The sequence below is a fragment of the Homo sapiens genome, chromosome 21, assembly GCF_000001405.40.
Source record: "Homo sapiens chromosome 21, GRCh38.p14 Primary Assembly".
In the NCBI taxonomy this organism is placed as follows: Eukaryota; Metazoa; Chordata; class Mammalia; order Primates; family Hominidae; genus Homo; species Homo sapiens.
In genome coordinates, this window is record NC_000021.9 from 6,106,898 (window position 1) to 6,124,237 (window position 17,340).

The window sequence follows — 17,340 nt, forward strand, 5'->3', positions numbered from 1 at the left end:
GCACCGTCTCACCTCTCTCTGGGGACCTGTCCCTTCCCACAGTGAACTTCGAAGCATGTCTGTCTGTCACCATGTTCTGGCACAGTCTGGCCATGCTCACCTGTGTCCACCCGCTGACTCATTGCAGCTGGCACACTTGTTGCAAATGGCAGAAACTCACATTATTTTGCATAAGTAAATAGTAACCAAAAAAAAAAAAAGATGGTTTACCATGCTCTACACTAGCAGCCAGCATGTCACCTGGAAACACCGAGACCTGAGCTGACACTCAGACGTCTCCATCTCCCGGGAGCCACGCTCCGTGTGGCCCTGGCAGAGTGCCCAGGATAAAGAGCACGGCCAGCACCTGCTCCAGTCCTGGTCCCCAGTGTCTGCACAAAGCTGCAGCATCCCAGAGGCTTCTGCTCTGCCTCTGGGGACCTTTGCTCCGTTTGCGGATGCGGTTTCCTTCTTCCTACAGAGAGGCAGGTGGTTTACTCCAGAGCTGCCTGCTCAGCACAGGGTGACCTCCTGCCAGGCTGTCCATGGTGCTCTTCCTAAGTGAGCACTCCCCCCCGGGGGAACCCCTGGCTCTGTTTGGGGCCTGGCTGACTCTCGCTGGGGCTGGCCCCTTCCTGCACCCCCCTCCCCCGCCGTCCGACCTCAGCATATGGCTCAGGGACACAGACACCCAAAGGCCTCTTGGGTCCTCAGCCTTGATATCGGCCACAGCCCTGCTTAAATGTCAAGAAAACGCATTGGCCACATGAATAATTCCTCACTAACGGCAGCGACAGAAACCGGAACCAGAAACCCTAGAGGGCTGGAGCGGGGAGGGCCGACTGGCCCGTGAACAGGCACGTTTCTGCTGCTTTGCCGGCCTTCGTGGTCCATTTAAGCAGCCCGTGGAAGGCCTAGCCTGAAAGTGGGTGCTGTCTGAGATGGGGAGGGGCCCTGGGCCCGGTAGGATCCACACAACTGTGGCAGCCACGGAACCACAGGGAGCCAAGTGTAGGAGGTGAAGGAAGCAATGCCCTGGGGGCGGACGCTGGGACTGGGCAGTCTCTGGTTTGACCTGTTCGCGGGGGATTCTTGACTTAACCTGTGGACAACTGGGCCATTCCCTGAGGGTGGAGGGGGCTGGGGGCTTTTCTCCTACCTGCCCTCTTCCCAGGCCAGGGCCGTGGCTTCCTGACCTAGTGCACACATGTCTGTCTGTCAAGCTCTCCAGATACAATGGGGCAAAATGACCAACGTGGCCCCCGGGTCCCTGAGAAGGATGCCGCTGCAGTGGTTAATCTGATTTTCTGGCACCTAAAGCCGCTAGGCTGAAGCCTAAACAAACCAAAACAAAATTTAAAAAGTACAAAACCACCTGAAGCAAAGCCAGGAAGACAGGGAAGGGCCTTAGGCGTCGAAGATGGGAGGGTAGGGTCGGGAAGAGGAACTCGTCTGACTCCTGGCTGCACTGGGAGATTCCTTCCTCACAGAGGGCGGCACTGGGGCCAGCTGGGCACCCATCCCTTTGCAAAAATGCTGCCCCACGCTCCATTCTCTGTGTTTATCAATTGATTTTGAGAGTTTTGTGACATGCCAGTGGCCAGCGTTACAACTATGAATAATAAATGGACCCATTTCCTGTTGGGGTTTCCAGTCTTAAGGCCTAAAAAACAAGATGAACTCCAGAAACACGGCAATCATAAGACAAGCTGAAGAAAGTCCATGTGGAAAGGAAAACTGACTTGCCGTTTTCCACAAATCTGTAATAATATGCAAACCATAATAATAAAGTACCGTTCCTGCAGACTTTGGGAGCATTCCTTCCATTATGTTCAGTGAGGAGCTTCTCCAATCATTTGCTTGTACCATCCTTACACTCACACCATGTGTTTTATTTTTCCTCGTGTTAAAGGCACGGAAGACCAGAAAACAGAAAAGAAATCAAAGCTTCTGAGAGGAAATACAGCCTCGGGGGGTCAAGGACACAAACAACAACAAAAGACATTGGGTAACAGAGACCAGGTTGAAGCACAGACTTAGTTATGAGGGTGCCAGGGGTTCCCCCAGTGGGGAGACGGGACAGCCGTTCCAAGCTTGGCCTTTTCCTCTGTGCTTCCTGCCTTTCTCTGCAGAGCGAGCTCCTTGCCCACGGGCCCAGGGAAGGGAAAACAGGATGGCCATGGTTGGCACAGGGCTGTTCTGGGTTTTGGAAGCTCAGGGCTGGGTCAGGGTGAAAGGTCAAGTGCACCTGAGTTTGGGGACCTGTTCTGCGGAGGCAGTTTTGGCTGCAGTTTTTATTTGGTGCTGATGCAATGTTTCCAAACAGCCAGCCAGGTGTTTGCAAATACCTAAGACCTTTTGGAAGACTCTGGCTAGGGTGGGAGGGGTGGGGAAGCCTGCTTCCTGGATGCGGGGGGCAGTATTTCAAGTCACAGGCTGAGGGACTGAATGGTGAGTGTGATCAGGGGCCTGGTTTCTCCCCCACCCCGCCTTTTATCTTTGTTCTTTTTTGAGACAGGGCCTTGTTCTCTTGCTCAGGCTGGAGTGCAGTGGTGCAATGACAGCTCACTGCAGCCTCAACCTCCCAGGCTCACGCCATCCTCCCACCTCAGGCTCCCAAGTAGCCGGCCCCACAGGCGTGTGCCACCACACCTGGCTATTTTAAAAGTATTTTATAGAGGTGAGGTCTTGCTATGTTAACCAAGCCGGTCTCAAACTCCTGAGCTCAACTGATCCTCCTGCCTCAGCCTCCCAAAGCACTGGGATTACAGGCGGGAGACACGACGTCCAGCCTTGTTTTTGTTTAGTTCTCCTAGGAGCGGATTAACAGGGTGTTGGGACCTCCAAAAGGAAAAAAGGCAGTTGTACACTGTTCAGCTGAAAGGAACTAAAAATATTCCCCCGTATTCTTGGTATATAAACCTGGGACAAAGAAAAACACTCTGAACGATTAAGGAAAACTTTGGGACTCTTCATTTCCTTGAAAGCCTTTGAAAACCAACTGACTCCCAAACAACCCGTGTGTGTGTATGTGTGTGTGTGTGTGTGTGTGTGTGTGTGTGTCGATTGGGAAATCTGTGGTCAGACCCTCGGGCGAATGAGGAGAAGCTCATCCTCGTTTCTCCGGGCCCTCCTCCCAGGCGTCCGTCCAGGCAGGAAAGCCTCCCGAGAAGGGTTCCAAGTTTTGTGCCAACTTCCCTGAATTCTCGTTCCCCCTTCTGTGAAGTAGTGTTATTTAACACAAGGAAAACTGACCCTAGGCTCGATCCAGAATCTAACTCCCAAATGGGTCCTCAGGCTTAAAAAATACCTTCGCCCACAGCCTCTGTCTCCCCTGAAGAAAACGTTTTCCGTTCGGATGAGGCATCGGCCACGGGCAAGCAAGTGGTCCCGCGCCCCCGTCCCCTACCCAGGCGGCCGGCCTGGCTCCGTCACCGCCCGCAGCGTCCGCCCGGGGCCCGCGCGGGAAGAGGGTCCCAGCCCCACATGCTGCGGGGGCAGCCCCGGGACGCGCAGACGCCAGCGCCGCTGAGGGCCGGGGCCGGGACCGGCCGCGCGGCGGGGGCTTCCAGAGCGGCCGGTCACGCTTCCTTAGGTTTCAAGTTTCTAACTTGCTGAACATTTCAGATTTTAACAGCAAAAGCGGCTGACGTCCCCGCGGGCAAGCGGCCTCTCGGGGTCTGCAGCGCCCCAGGGCATCCGCGCCGCCAGCCCCACGCGCGAGCCCGCGAGGCCCCCGGGCCCCCGCACGTCCCGAGGCTCTGAGTCTGGACGAACGCAGGCCGCGTGGAGGGGCCGGCGACCCCTGCCCGAGAGCCGTCCCCTCCTGGAGGGAGCGAGCACAAGGCGCCCGCGGGACCCGGCCCGAGTGCCCGAGCGTGGAGGGGCGGGCGCGCCCTCGGCGGTGGGGCCGCCCGCAGTGCCCCCAGCGCCCGGGAGGGGGCGCCCGGCGGAGCGCAGGCGGGCGGGCCTCGGGCGGCGGGCGCCCCTGACGTCACCGGCCCGCGGTCGCCAGGGCAACGGCCTCATCCCGCGCGCGTCAGAGCCGCCAGTCTCTTGGCAACCGCCCGATCTCCCGCTCTCCCTCCGCCCGGCGCTCGGCCGCGCGTCGCTCTGGCGTCAAAGCGACGTCAATGGGCGGCCCCCGCCCGGGCGGCGGGGGCGGGGCAGGGGGCGGGGACTACGGGGGGCGGGCCGGGGCGGGCCGGGGCGGGGCCGGGCGCCGCGTGCGGCGGAGCGCGGCGGCTCCGGGCTGACATGCGGCGCGGCCCCGGAGGCAGCAGCAGCGGCGGCGGCAGCCGGAGCAGTAGGCACCCGAGCAGCGCCAGCGGCCGAGCGGGCGGCTTCCTGGCCTGGGCGCTCCGGTGGCGGCGGAGGTGAGGCGGCGGCAGCGGCGGCAGCGGCGGCAGCGGCGGGCTCCGGGCGGGCGGAGGTGGCCGCCGTGGGGGCTCCGCGCGGGCGCCGGGCCGGGGCTCGGGGTTGCAGCCACCGCGCAGGGTCCCTGGCCTTGCGCGCGCGGGGTTCGCGGGCGGGGTTGGCGGCCTGGCCGCCCTCGGGCTCCCCTTTGTTGGGGGGCCGGGGTAGGAGTGAGTCCGCGGGGCTCAGGGGCTGGGGAGCCGGGGGTCAGGTTGGAGCCGACCGCGGGCGGAGAGACCGGGTGTGGGGGGCGGGTCCGCGATCCCCGAGGTGCCTGGGATGTCGGGGGTGGGGACCGGACGGATCGCGGGCGGCGGGGGCAGGGTGTGGGAGCGGGGCAGGGGACGGTCCTGGGATCCGGATCGAGCCGACCTCGGGTGGCAGGGCCAGGTGTGGGAGCGGGTCCGCGCCCAGAGGTGCTAAAGGGGTCGAGGGTGGGGACGGAACCGACAGCGGGCGGCGGGAGGCGAGTGTGGAATCCCGGCTCAGGGGGTCCCGGGATCGGGACGGAACCGGACTCGGGCGGCAGGGGCCTCTATGAGAGCGGGTCCGTGCGCCCCGCGGGGCTCAAGAGGGTCGGGGGTCCGGGTGGAGCGGGCGGCGGGGGCGGGTCCACACCTCCCACGGGGCTGGAGGGGCCCGTGGATAGAGTGGGGGCGACAGGCGTGGGAGCAGGTCCCTGCGTCCCGTGGGGACTGGGGGCTCCGCGGGCACGGATGGAGCCGACCGCGGGCGGCGGGGGCGCTGGTGGGCTCTGAGCTCTGTGCGGCCCCGCAGGTGCGCGCGGAGCCATGGTTATCATGTCGGAGTTCAGCGCGGACCCCGCGGGCCAGGGTCAGGGCCAGCAGAAGCCCCTCCGGGTGGGTTTTTACGACATCGAGCGGACCCTGGGCAAAGGCAACTTCGCGGTGGTGAAGCTGGCGCGGCATCGAGTCACCAAAACGCAGGTGCGTGGGGGCGGTGGGACCCAGCCGGCGGGGCCTCCCCACTGGACCCGGGGCGACCCGACCTTTGGCGGGTGGACCCCATGCAGATTCACTGCTCCAGGCTTGATTGTCGTGGTGGGTAAATAGTAACCGTTTTTAGTTCGGTAAAGAAAAATAATGCTTTATATTATGTTGCTGCATAATTTGGACATATATTGGGAGAAAGCAGAGAGGATAATAGCAAAAAAAAGGACCAACCTAAGATTGCAGTGGTTCATGGACTCAGAGCTAAACCCTGTAAAGTGAGCCTGCAAATACTTAAGTCACTTACTTAACTCTGATTATTTTAAATAACATTAGTGGTTACTTTGGTTATGTTTTCCCAACTTCTTGTGACCTTCTGGAGACAGAGTGTTGAGAAATTAACTTGCAAAAAATGAAATGTGTAAATTAGGTTGAGGGTTTCTTTTCTTTTTTTAAAAAAACCCACAGAATATCCTTTTTCTTTTTAAATTTGTAGGTTGCAATAAAAATAATTGATAAAACACGATTAGATTCAAGCAATTTGGAGAAAATCTATCGTGAGGTTCAGCTGATGAAGCTTCTGAACCATCCACACATCATAAAGCTTTACCAGGTAAGGGGTCAGCTTGCCTTTCTCTGCTAATCCTGGCAAATGTGTTATATTTTATTTCCAACAGCATAAGTCTGCAATTTCTGAAGGTGGCTTCCCTTTTGGGGAGTGTGTGGAAGTTGGGCATTTGGTTGTATAAGGTAAATAGATTGATTTTTATAGGCTGTGCAGATATATTTACAATTATTTTATTGCTTTTGGATCATAATTGAGATTTGCTTCATTAGAATTTTATTTAGTATCCTAACCTGATCCAGTTTTAAATGTGTAGAAGTCTGTTGTAAATTTGCTTTACTATGAAAACAGACAAACTTATCTGTAGGTATTGCCACAGGTCACGCATTTAGTATAAAAGGACAAATTTGAGTGAAACTGGAAACTTCTGCCTTTGCAGATAATTATTAAACTTTAAAGCCAGCTGCTCTTACTGGTTTTCATTAGTTTATTTTTGCAAGGACAGTAGTGAGCATTTGTTTTCCCTATTTAAACTCTTCCATGAAAAACGGAGAGATGAAAATACTTTTCCATAGTAAGAGCAAGGAGCTTGTCATTTAATCCATGCTAGGAACATGGCTTGCCCTGTCTCTCTGTTGGTTTATTTTGTGACTTAATTTTTGTTCTCATGTTGAAATTAATAAATTATATCATCAGGAAATAAGTACTAATTTAATTAGAACAGCAAAGCAATCATTTACACCTCCCTAATGACAAATGACCACTTTTGCAAGGTGAAATCAAGTCTTCTTGCAGAAGAAGTTCTTTGCAGGTGCTATTTCATCCATTTGTGTTGGGTTGAAGTTCCTCGTAATGATTCTTATGAAATGGAATGTGAGATGACTCTGGGATGTTGTTGTGTGTGTTTGTGCAATTAGGACAGCTCGGTGTACAGTGTGGTAGGAGAGAGAATTATGATTCGAAATTATCCCCCAAAAGCCTCTGCACTAGATTGAAAATAAAAGTAGCAGTATTGGTGGAGCTTACGACAGTTTGCTCAGTGTCTTTAAGCACAGAATTCATGCCGTGTGCGCCTGGTTTGTGTTTTGTTTCTGTTGTCATTTTTAAGTTGTGTGCTCCATGGCCACTGGTGTACTGCCTGTGCAGCGTGCCCAGCCCATTTCCTCAGGAGTGGGCTGAGCTGGTTTTGTTTTTGACTTTGCTCAAGGGCTGAACCCTAATGGTAGTACCTTCCTTTTCTTCCTGTTCTTCTCCTTTGCCCATTGTGTGGAATTAGCTCCGTTAAAGAAACAAATTGCCCATGTGTTTGCTGCTGAGGTCTTTTCTGGAGGTGCATTTTCTTACTGCTGCTGTATGTGATTCTTAACTGTTGGGAGATGATAGAATTCAGTGGTGTAGCAATGACTTTTACTCCTCTGGTTTTGATGCTAATGTCTAATTTTCTTTCTTTTCTTTCTTTCTTCCTGTCTTTTTTTTTTTTTTCTTTTTTGAGACGGAGTCTCTGTCCGTCACCCAGGCTGGAGTGCAGTGGCGCGATTTCGGCTCACTGCAACTGCCGCCTCCTGGGTTCAAGCAATTCTTCTGCCTCAGCCTCCCAAGTAGCTGGGACTACAGGCGCCCGCCACAACACCCAGCTAATTTTTTGTATTTTTAGTAGAGACAGGGTTTCACCGTGTTAGCCAGGATAGTCTGGATCTCCTGACCTTGTGATCCGCCCGCCTCGGCCTCCCAAAGTGCTGGGATTACAGGCATGAACCACCGCGCCCGGCCACTAGTGTCTAATTTTCATTCCGCTGGCCGGGGCCCCAGAACCCTGCTGAGACACTTCCCTCTTTTTTTCAAGTTTTCAAAAAGTTCAAACACTTTGACTTTTAATTCTTTTCCTCCTCCTCCCTTTCTTCAGTTGGGGACGGGTCAGCAGTGGTCTTAGAGTTATTGTACCACCCACAGGGGCGGGGCAGTTAAAATTCTTGCCAAACTGCTAGAATTTATAGAACACTTTTCTTTTTAGATTTATAACTCAAAGCAGCAATCTTTGAAGCATCTTTTTTTTTTTTTTTTTTTTTGAGATGGAGTCTCACTGTCGCCCAGGCTGGAGTGCAGTGGCGCTATGGATCGTGACTCACTGCAACCTCCACCTCCTGGGTTCAAGCGATTCTCCTACCTCAGCCTCCCAAGTAGCTGGGACTACAGGCACGCGCCACCACACCTGGCTAATTTTTGTATTTTTAGTAGAGATGGGGTTTCACCATGTTGACCAGGCTGGTCTCGAACTCCTAACCTCAAGTGATCAGCCTGGGTGATCCCAAAGTACTGGGATTACAAGCATGAGCCACCACCTCCAGCACAAAGCATCTTTTTAAAGGAATAACTATATTTTGAACCCAAAAAAATCTTTTTTCATAAGAATATATTGCCTCATCCTCTCCAAAATTTTTCAATACTCACAGACATAAGTTATATTTTTAAATCTCTTTTTAAGTAAAATAAAGTTATTGATTAGTGAATGAACTTCAAAGGGCTATGTTGGCATGGCTGTTGTGTGGCTACATGCTGAGTGAATGGCTACATGCTGAGTGAATGAGGCTGGATTCTCACAGCCTCATTCATCCTGTCAATAAAGCTGGGTTCCCACAGCGTCATTCATCCTGTCAATCAAGCGAGTGGGAATGGGGTGTGCATTCTCTATTACCCAGGTGGCTCTGACCGTTGGCTGGAATCATCTGTTGCCTACTAGGCTTCTATAAAGCCCAGCAGACTTCCAGCAATCTCCTCCTCTGTAGCCTTCAGAATACTGTCTCTCCTTTTTTGAGATGGAGTCTCGCTCTGTCGCCCAAGTTGGAGTGCAGTGGTACGATCTCGGCTCACTGCAACCTCCGCCTTGCGGGTTCGAATGATCCTCTTGCCTCAGCCTCCTGAGTAGCTGGGATTACAGGTGCCCACCACCTCACCTAGCTAGTTTTTGTATTTTTTGTAGAGATGGGGTCTTGCCGTGTTGACCAGGCTGGTCTCGAACTCAAGCGATTCTCCTGCCTTGGCCTCCCGAAGTGCTGGGATTACAGGGCGTGAGCCACCATGCCCCGGCCTAAGCATTCTCAAATTGTATGTGAGGTGTCTTGAATTAAATATGACCACAGAGGGGAATTCTAATATATTTAGACCTTTTGTGAGAGCAAAGGTGTATCAGGATAGGCAAGTCAGTGAGGAATTCACCTCTGATTTTTCAAAGCTGTCTTTGTGAGTAGGAATCTCCTATTTTTTTTTTATTTGAGAAATTTTTCTTTTTCTTTGCATTTTTAAATGATGAATGCCTTTGTCCTAGAGAAGTTAGAAATTTCCTGGGGTTCTGGTGGATGGTTTGTAGCGCTGCCTTGTGCCTTTTTTGTGCGGTTAAATGTCAGGTCTTTCTTCTTTAGGTTATGGAAACAAAGGACATGCTTTACATCGTCACTGAATTTGCTAAAAATGGAGAAATGTTTGGTAAGCCACACTCGTTTTCAGTATCTGTTGAAAACCAATGGCACGAACGCGTCTGGATTTGCGCGGCCAGTGTCTGGGCCACACATCCCAGGACCCCGCGGTGTTCCCCAGGGCTCCATGGGTGGTGGGCAGGCTTTGCCCTGGGGGCTGTAGCTTTGTTTTGTGGCTCCTCAGATTATTTGACTTCCAACGGGCACCTGAGTGAGAACGAGGCGCGGAAGAAGTTCTGGCAAATCCTGTCGGCCGTGGAGTACTGTCACGACCATCACATCGTCCACCGGGACCTCAAGACCGAGAACCTCCTGCTGGATGGCAACATGGACATCAAGCTGGCAGGCACGGAGGGTCCGGGGTGGGAGCAGGGACATCAAGCTGGCAGGCACGGAGGGTCTGGGGTGGGAGCAGGGACATCAAGCTGGCAGGCACGGAGGGTCCGGGGTGGGAGCAGGGACATCAAGCTGGCAGGCACGGAGGCCCCGGGGTGGGAGTGTGCCCGCAAGCAGCCCCAGCTTCCCGGCATGTGCCGAAACCACAGCCCCTGTGCCGAAACCGCAGCCCCTTGCCATTTGCCGTTTAACCTCATCCATCTGTTTCTTTGCCGCTCAGATTTTGGATTTGGGAATTTCTACAAGTCAGGAGAGCCTCTGTCCACGTGGTGTGGGAGCCCCCCGTATGCCGCCCCGGAAGTCTTTGAGGGGAAGGAGTATGAAGGCCCCCAGCTGGACATCTGGGTAGGAGCCCTGTGCGCGCAGACCCCCTTCCCGAGGCCGCGTTCCCCGAGGGCGCCGTGTTCCCGGGGGCACCGCCCTGGCGCTGATGTGGCTCTGTGGTCCTCAACAGAGCCTGGGCGTGGTGCTGTACGTCCTGGTCTGCGGTTCTCTCCCCTTCGATGGGCCTAACCTGCCGACGCTGAGACAGCGGGTGCTGGAGGGCCGCTTCCGCATCCCCTTCTTCATGTCTCAAGGTGAGTCGTGTGGTCTCGCCTGGGCAGGGGCCTGTGTCTCCTGCAGCCCCTTCGTGGCTGGCTTCTGAGTCCTTGTTGAGTCTGGGAATCAGGCCCAGGTTACTGTGGGCTGCGGGAGAAACCCAGCCCATGGATGCCTTCTCAGTGCCCTATTTCGAGGGTGGACGGGTGCCCTTGCTGCACAGGCTTGTGCCTTGCGCCTGCCGTCCCCGCCCAGTACCCGCACCCAGGGTGCTGGCATCATCCCTGAGTCCAACCCACTGGCTGTGGCTCACCCGGCTTTTCTGTGTCATAAAGATGCCTGTCCACCTGGTGCTCAGGTGTGGGGCACGGCAGAAGGGTGAACCTAAGTGGTTCTCTGTGTGGTGGACACAAAGTGTGGCAGCCCCCAGGGTCTGGATCCCTGGCTGATGGCTCCCCTTGGGTGGCAGGACTGAGCCGATGGCCCGGCCCCTGCTCCTGGGCCCTGGCGTGTCAAACCACGTGGGGCGGTGGGTGGGAGCGCAGCCGAGGTCCCGGCCGCCCTGGCTCAGCCTCCTGGCCCCTCCACAGACTGTGAGAGCCTGATCCGCCGCATGCTGGTGGTGGACCCCGCCAGGCGCATCACCATCGCCCAGATCCGGCAGCACCGGTGGATGCGGGCTGAGCCCTGCTTGCCGGGACCCGCCTGCCCCGCCTTCTCCGCACACAGCTACACCTCCAACCTGGGCGACTACGATGAGCAGGCGCTGGGTATCATGCAGACCCTGGGCGTGGACCGGCAGAGGACGGTGGAGGTGAGCCTGGCCACACTTGCCCTGGCCTCACCCGCAGGGGCTAGGCAGCTGTCTCAGGGGAAGCAGGCACTCACCAGCTGAGTTAAAACGGGAGCACAGGCTAATTTAGGGGCCGGCTTGTCCACCCCACTAAAGGATATTCTCAGTCACCCAAGAATAACCTGGGATCGGGTGGGCCCTGGGGCTCCCCGCCATCCCCATGCTGATCTCTGCTCCTCTTGTTCCCAGTCACTGCAAAACAGCAGCTATAACCACTTTGCTGCCATTTATTACCTCCTCCTTGAGCGGCTCAAGGAGTATCGGAATGCCCAGTGCGCCCGCCCCGGGCCTGCCAGGCAGCCGCGGCCTCGGAGCTCGGACCTCAGTGGTTTGGAGGTGAGGGGGAGGAGTCTCCTCCCAGGCCCCAGGCTCCCTCCCCTGTCAGGCACCGGCTTGGAGGGCGGTTCCTTGCGTGGGCAGCGGGTCCCAGGCCTCGTGGGGAAGGGGGTGCCAGCTGCTGGGGGCTGGACTCTGCCCAGAGGCCACTTGTCCCTGACTCATCCCTGGGGCCGGCCTGTCACGCCACCTTCTGGCAGCGCAGCACCAGCACCTGGTCCTGAGCCCAGCCTGGCCAGCCAGTGTCCCTCCGTCAGCTGTCATGCCCACCAGCGAGGCAGCTTGCACTCCAGACAGAAGCCAGCTTGTTTCTTCTCTTGATGGCGCTGGTGGTCCGGAGTCGCTCCCCTGACAGCGTCTTTCCCGTCTGCCGGCCCCAGGTGCCTCAGGAAGGTCTTTCCACCGACCCTTTCCGACCTGCCTTGCTGTGCCCGCAGCCGCAGACCTTGGTGCAGTCCGTCCTCCAGGCCGAGATGGACTGTGAGCTCCAGAGCTCGCTGCAGTGGGTGAGTGCCCACAGCGGGTGTGCAGAGGGCTCGCCTCAGCCCAGCCCTGGTGCCCCCGGTGTGCCCGGGTCACCTGGAGTCCGAGAAGTCACTGGCTTGTGTCTCTCCAACGCAGCCCTTGTTCTTCCCGGTGGATGCCAGCTGCAGCGGAGTGTTCCGGCCCCGGCCCGTGTCCCCAAGCAGCCTGCTGGACACAGCCATCAGTGAGGAGGCCAGGCAGGGGCCGGGCCTAGAGGAGGAGCAGGACACGCAGGAGTCCCTGCCCAGCAGCACGGGCCGGAGGCACACCCTGGCCGAGGTCTCCACCCGCCTCTCCCCACTCACCGCGCCATGTAAGTGTCCCCGGGGGCCCAGGAGGACACCGGTGGATAGGCTTACGGTCGACGTGAGGGTGGGCTAATTTAGAATGGACGTTTTGCCCGGCAGCCTCTCAGGTTGGACTTCTCAGGATTTGCCATTTGTTTTAATCCCTGAGACCACACAGTTGATGTTTAGAGCCTGCCCTGCATGTGGTCGTTCCAGTGGAGGATACAGCATGGGGTCTGGCCTCCAGCAGGGTCCTCCCCAGGCCGCCCCTGGGTGCCGGGAGGGCAGCCCCTTGGCCTGAGGCCCACTATGACCTGCCCCCTGCAGCTGCACCGTGATGGTGGCTTGCCTTTGTGGCTCCCTGGGCTCTGGTGGCCTCGAGCCCTCTTCCCACCAGGTTGATGGTGGGGATGGGGAGGCCAGCGCAGCCATGTGTGCCCAGCAGTGGCCGGGGGAGCCTATTCCTTTGCACTGCAGCATCAAAAGCGCTGTCCTCCCCCCACAGGTATAGTCGTCTCCCCCTCCACCACGGCAAGTCCTGCAGAGGGAACCAGCTCTGACAGTTGTCTGACCTTCTCTGCGAGCAAAAGCCCCGCGGGGCTCAGTGGCACCCCGGCCACTCAGGGGCTGCTGGGCGCCTGCTCCCCGGTCAGGCTGGCCTCGCCCTTCCTGGGGTCGCAGTCCGCCACCCCAGTGCTGCAGGCTCAGGGGGGCTTGGGAGGAGCTGTTCTGCTCCCTGTCAGCTTCCAGGAGGGACGGCGGGCGTCGGACACCTCACTGACTCAAGGTGAGCCACGCTCCTCCCACACTTACCTCCACCTTCCCCAGGGGACCATGTGTGTCTCTGGCAGTACGTGACTTTGTCCGTGATGGCAGATGGCACCCCCTGTTCTCCACCGGGCCTGGGTGGGACCCTCAGTGCTCTGGGCAGGCTGGGGTGCTCAGTGCTCTGGTGGCTCGGGGCGTCACGGCCTGCTGGGATAGACACACATGGGTCCCTGAGCACGCGGCCTCCATGGCTGGTTCTGAAAGCACAGGAGACGACTCTGTGCTGGGCAGCACCTCCCGACTTGGAGGAGGGAGGGCCCCTGGCTGCCAGCTGCCTCCACGCCATCCTGGGGCTTAGGTGCCAGACTCCTGTCCAGACGTGCTTGTGTCACCCGTCCTTTCCTTACCCCCAACCTGAGGCTTGGAAACCCCTTAAGCCAAGGGCCGTGGATGCTGGGCTGAGAGCCGGGTGGCCGTTGACCTCCTGATTCATTCTCCCTGCAGGGCTGAAGGCCTTTCGGCAGCAGCTGAGGAAGACCACGCGGACCAAAGGGTTTCTGGGACTGAACAAAATCAAGGGGCTGGCTCGCCAGGTGTGCCAGGTCCCTGCCAGCCGGGCCAGCAGGGGCGGCCTGAGCCCCTTCCACGCCCCTGCACAGAGCCCAGGCCTGCACGGCGGCGCAGCCGGCAGCCGGGAGGGCTGGAGCCTGCTGGAGGAGGTGCTAGAGCAGCAGAGGTAGGGCCTGCCCCCGCCCTGGGACCCCGGGTGGGCACACGGCAGGTTATCTCCTCGAGGAACCTCATCTGCTAAGTGGTTCCCTCCTCTCTGTAGCCCAGTGCACACCCCCGCTCCCAGCCAGGGAGATGTGTGGGGCGTAGGTCCTAGGTGCTGAGCCATGGGGGTGCAGCAGGCGGGCGTGTCCTTTAAAGTCCCTGGGTGGGTGAGGGTGGCGGGGAGCGAGGGCGCCTTGTGGCCGCATCTCTGAGCTGCTGAGAAACCGGGTGGAGAATGAAAGGTGGGGCGCGGTCAGGGATCAGCCACGCACCTGCCCTCGGCAGCCGCGGCTGGCAGCTCCACGGGCGGGCCCTGCCACACGGGCACTCGGAAACCCGAGAACCCTGCGAGCCGGCGCAGTGACCACCTGTCCTCTGTTCCCACAGGCTGCTCCAGTTACAGCACCACCCGGCCGCTGCACCCGGCTGCTCCCAGGCCCCCCAGCCGGCCCCTGCCCCGTTTGTGATCGCCCCCTGTGATGGCCCTGGGGCTGCCCCGCTCCCCAGCACCCTCCTCACGTCGGGGCTCCCGCTGCTGCCGCCCCCACTCCTGCAGACCGGCGCGTCCCCGGTGGCCTCAGCGGCGCAGCTCCTGGACACACACCTGCACATTGGCACCGGCCCCACCGCCCTCCCCGCTGTGCCCCCACCACGCCTGGCCAGGCTGGCCCCAGGTTGTGAGCCCCTGGGGCTGCTGCAGGGGGACTGTGAGATGGAGGACCTGATGCCCTGCTCCCTAGGCACGTTTGTCCTGGTGCAGTGAGGGCAGCCCTGCATCCTGGCACGGACACTGACTCTTACAGCAATAACTTCAGAGGAGGTGAAGACATCTGGCCTCAAAGCCAAGAACTTTCTAGAAGCGAAATAAGCAATACGTTAGGTGTTTTGGCTTTTTAGTTTATTTTTGTTTTATTTTTTTCTTGCACTGAGTGACCTCAACTTTGAGTAGGGACTGGAAACTTTAGGAAGAAAGATAATTGAGGGGCGTGTCTGGGGGCGGGGGCAGGAGGGGAGCGGGGTGGAGGGAACACGTGCAGTGCCGTGGTGTGGGGATCTCGGCCCCTCTCTCTGGGTTCGTCGTGGTTGAGATGATTACCTCGGACGTCTACGGAAACGAGCGGGCGCATTGTTGTCCGCTTGTGTGTGTGTGTGTGTGTGTGTGTGTGCGCGTACATTGATTACTATCCATTTCTTTAGTCAACGCTCTCCACTTCCTGATTTCTGCTTTAAGGAAAACTGTGAACTTTCTGCTTCATGTATCAGTTTTAAAGCAGCCCAGGCAAAGATCATCTACAGATTCTAGGAATTCTCTCCCCTGAAATCAAAACCTGGAAGACTTTTTTTTCTTATTTTAGTTGAGAAGTTTCATAAACTGCTCAAGGATTAGTTTTCCAGGACTCTGCGGAGGAACGGCAGGAAGAACCTCAGAGAGGGCAGAGGTGACTTCAAAGTGCTGGGGACTCCGTCCTGAGGGTCACTTGGCCCTGAGCCCCTGCGTGCCCTTGCGGAAGCCCAGAAGCTTCTTCCTGCTGCACCTCCCGTTTCCGCTGCTGCTGACGTTTATGCATTTCATGATGGGGTCCAACAAGAACACCTGACTTGGGTGAAGTTGTGCAATATTGGAGGCTGACTGTAGGGCTGGGCAGCTGGGAGACAGGCTCATGGCTCATGGCTCATGGCTCAGGGCGGTGCCTGCCCTGGGCCGGGACCCCCCTCCCCACCCCCCACCTAGGCTTTTTGGGTTTTGTTCAAGGAAGGTAAAGTGAGAGGTTTAGGTCAGTGTTTTTAAGTTTTTGTTTTTTTTTTAAAGCAAATCCTGTATATGTATCTACATGGGAGACAGGTAGACACTACTTATTTGTTACATTTTGTACTACACGTTTGTGTTCCAGGTTTCAGCTTCCCTCGCTCCTGTTGTTAAGAAGCGTCCCTGTCAGCACAGGTGTGCATTGAGGAAGGGGCCCCAGGGCCTTCGCTCCCTCAGCACTGGGGTGGAGGCGGCAGGAAGGGGCGGCCCTTACCTGGCAGGTCTGGGCGCACCTTTAGCAGGTGGACTCCGTGGGGCTCCACCAGCCAGAAGCCTTTGGAAGGCAACGAAGGCAATGCTGCTCCCTGAGTCCAGTCCCCGCCCCCAAACCCAGCCCAGGTGCCTTCAGCTACTTCGGCTTCTTAAACCCTGCAGTGTTAAACAGAGGCATTGAGAAAGGGGAAAGGCGGGTATTTTTAAAAGCCAAAGATTGACCCAGTTACTTGAGGGTAGGGAGGCGGGCCCAGTGCAGGAGGCTGCATCCCTGGCCTGCTGGTGCCCACCGGGGGCTGTGCCTGTGCCGGGCCGCAGGGAAGCTGGCTGCCCCCATTCCTGCTGCTGCTGCTGCTGCTGCTCTGTGGCTGTTTCAAAGACTGGGCGAAAGGCTGTCCGGAGGGCAGACCAGGTGCCTTGCCGCAGAGAAAACACCAAAGTCTCCTGTTCGCTCATAAAGAAGTTTTTGGGATGGGAGAGAATCCAGACCATCTTGGGGCAGCCAGGCCCTTGCCTTCATTTTTACAGAGGTAGCACAATTGATTCCAACACAAAACTCCTTCCCCTTTTTAAAATGATTTCTGTTCTAATGCCATAGATCAAAGGCCTCAGAAACCATTGTGTGTTTCCTCTTTGAAGCAATGACAAGCACTTTACTTTCACGGTGGTTTTTGTTTTTTCTTATTGCTGTGGAACCTCTTTTGGAGGACGTTAAAGGCGTGTTTTACTTGTTTTTTTAAGAGTGTGTGATGTGTGTTTTGTAGATTTCTTGACAGTGCTGTAATACAGACGGCAATGCAATAGCCTATTTAAAGACACTACGTGATCTGATTGAGATGTACATAGTTTTTTTTTTTACCATAACTGAATTATTTTATCTCTTATGTTAACATGAGAAATGTATGCCAAATGATTAGTTGATGTATGTTTTTTAATTTAATATTTAAATAAAATATTTGGAAGGAAAAAACCTTGACTTTTTCCCTTCCTCTCTCTCTCATCTCTCTGGGAGCTCTTTCCTTCCAAGCGGCTTCCCTGAGAGGCCACATCCTCCAGGCTTGTAGAAGTTTCAAATCTTAAAGAGGAGGGCAGGGAGCCAACTCCTGCATTCCACCTCACTGCAGGGAACTAATGGCCTTCCGTCTGCAGAGGACCCCTCCCCCTGCGGCAGCCACAGGTGGCCCCGTGGTCTGCCCCCTCCTCAGGACCCTTCCCCAGTGGCCGGGCTCAGTCACTGAAAGTCTCAGCACCGCCCGGGGCTGCCGGCACCATCCATCCTTACCCCATCCTCCGCCAGGTTCTCTGAGTCTGGTTATAAATTAAGCAGTTGGAAGAATCTCACAGCCAAACCATTTCCTGGTCTCTGAAAGACTTCACCACCTTCTAGCAAGAGGGCACACACTGCTGCTTTATGAGAACAAAGGACTTGTTCATGTTGTCACCTGGTGGATATTTTGGTTA

The 17,340-nt window shown here is 56.6% G+C and overlaps 1 protein-coding gene across 2 annotated transcripts, besides 1 other annotated feature; it reads left to right on the top strand.

Moving 5' to 3' along the window:
• Positions 1-17,340: part of a sequence alteration artifact (region identified as an assembly artifact by the Genome Reference Consortium. This region falsely duplicates sequence located at GRCh38 chr21:43376890-43571979) that runs on past both edges of the window.
• LOC102724428 (salt inducible kinase 1B (putative)) lies at positions 4,234-16,881 on the top strand. 2 transcript variants are annotated; one of them, NM_001320643.3, is made up of 14 exons: positions 4,234-4,355; positions 5,173-5,342; positions 5,842-5,958; positions 9,327-9,390; positions 9,565-9,726; positions 9,997-10,121; positions 10,231-10,354; positions 10,907-11,130; positions 11,359-11,505; positions 11,886-12,011; positions 12,127-12,343; positions 12,823-13,104; positions 13,590-13,821; positions 14,247-16,881. In NM_001320643.3, the coding sequence occupies exons 2-14, from the start codon at positions 5,187-5,189 to the stop codon at positions 14,620-14,622; spliced, it is 2,352 nt and encodes a 783-aa protein (NP_001307572.1). In that variant the 5' UTR covers positions 4,234-4,355; positions 5,173-5,186; the 3' UTR covers positions 14,623-16,881. The 2 variants fall into 2 exon arrangements, with proteins under 2 accessions (NP_001307572.1, XP_016883697.1); XM_017028208.2 differs by lacking the exon at positions 11,359-11,505.

Bases quoted from the DNA above. Each gene is read 5' to 3' on its own strand.
- LOC102724428 (NM_001320643.3), top strand. From the start codon at position 5,187: ATGGTTATCATGTCGGAGTTCAGCGCGGACCCCGCGGGCCAGGGTCAG. The intron at 9,391-9,564 runs GTAAGCCACACT...GTGGCTCCTCAG, and splicing joins TAAAAATGGAGAAATGTTTG to ATTATTTGACTTCCAACGGG. The intron at 9,727-9,996 runs GCACGGAGGGTC...TTTGCCGCTCAG, and splicing joins CATGGACATCAAGCTGGCAG to ATTTTGGATTTGGGAATTTC.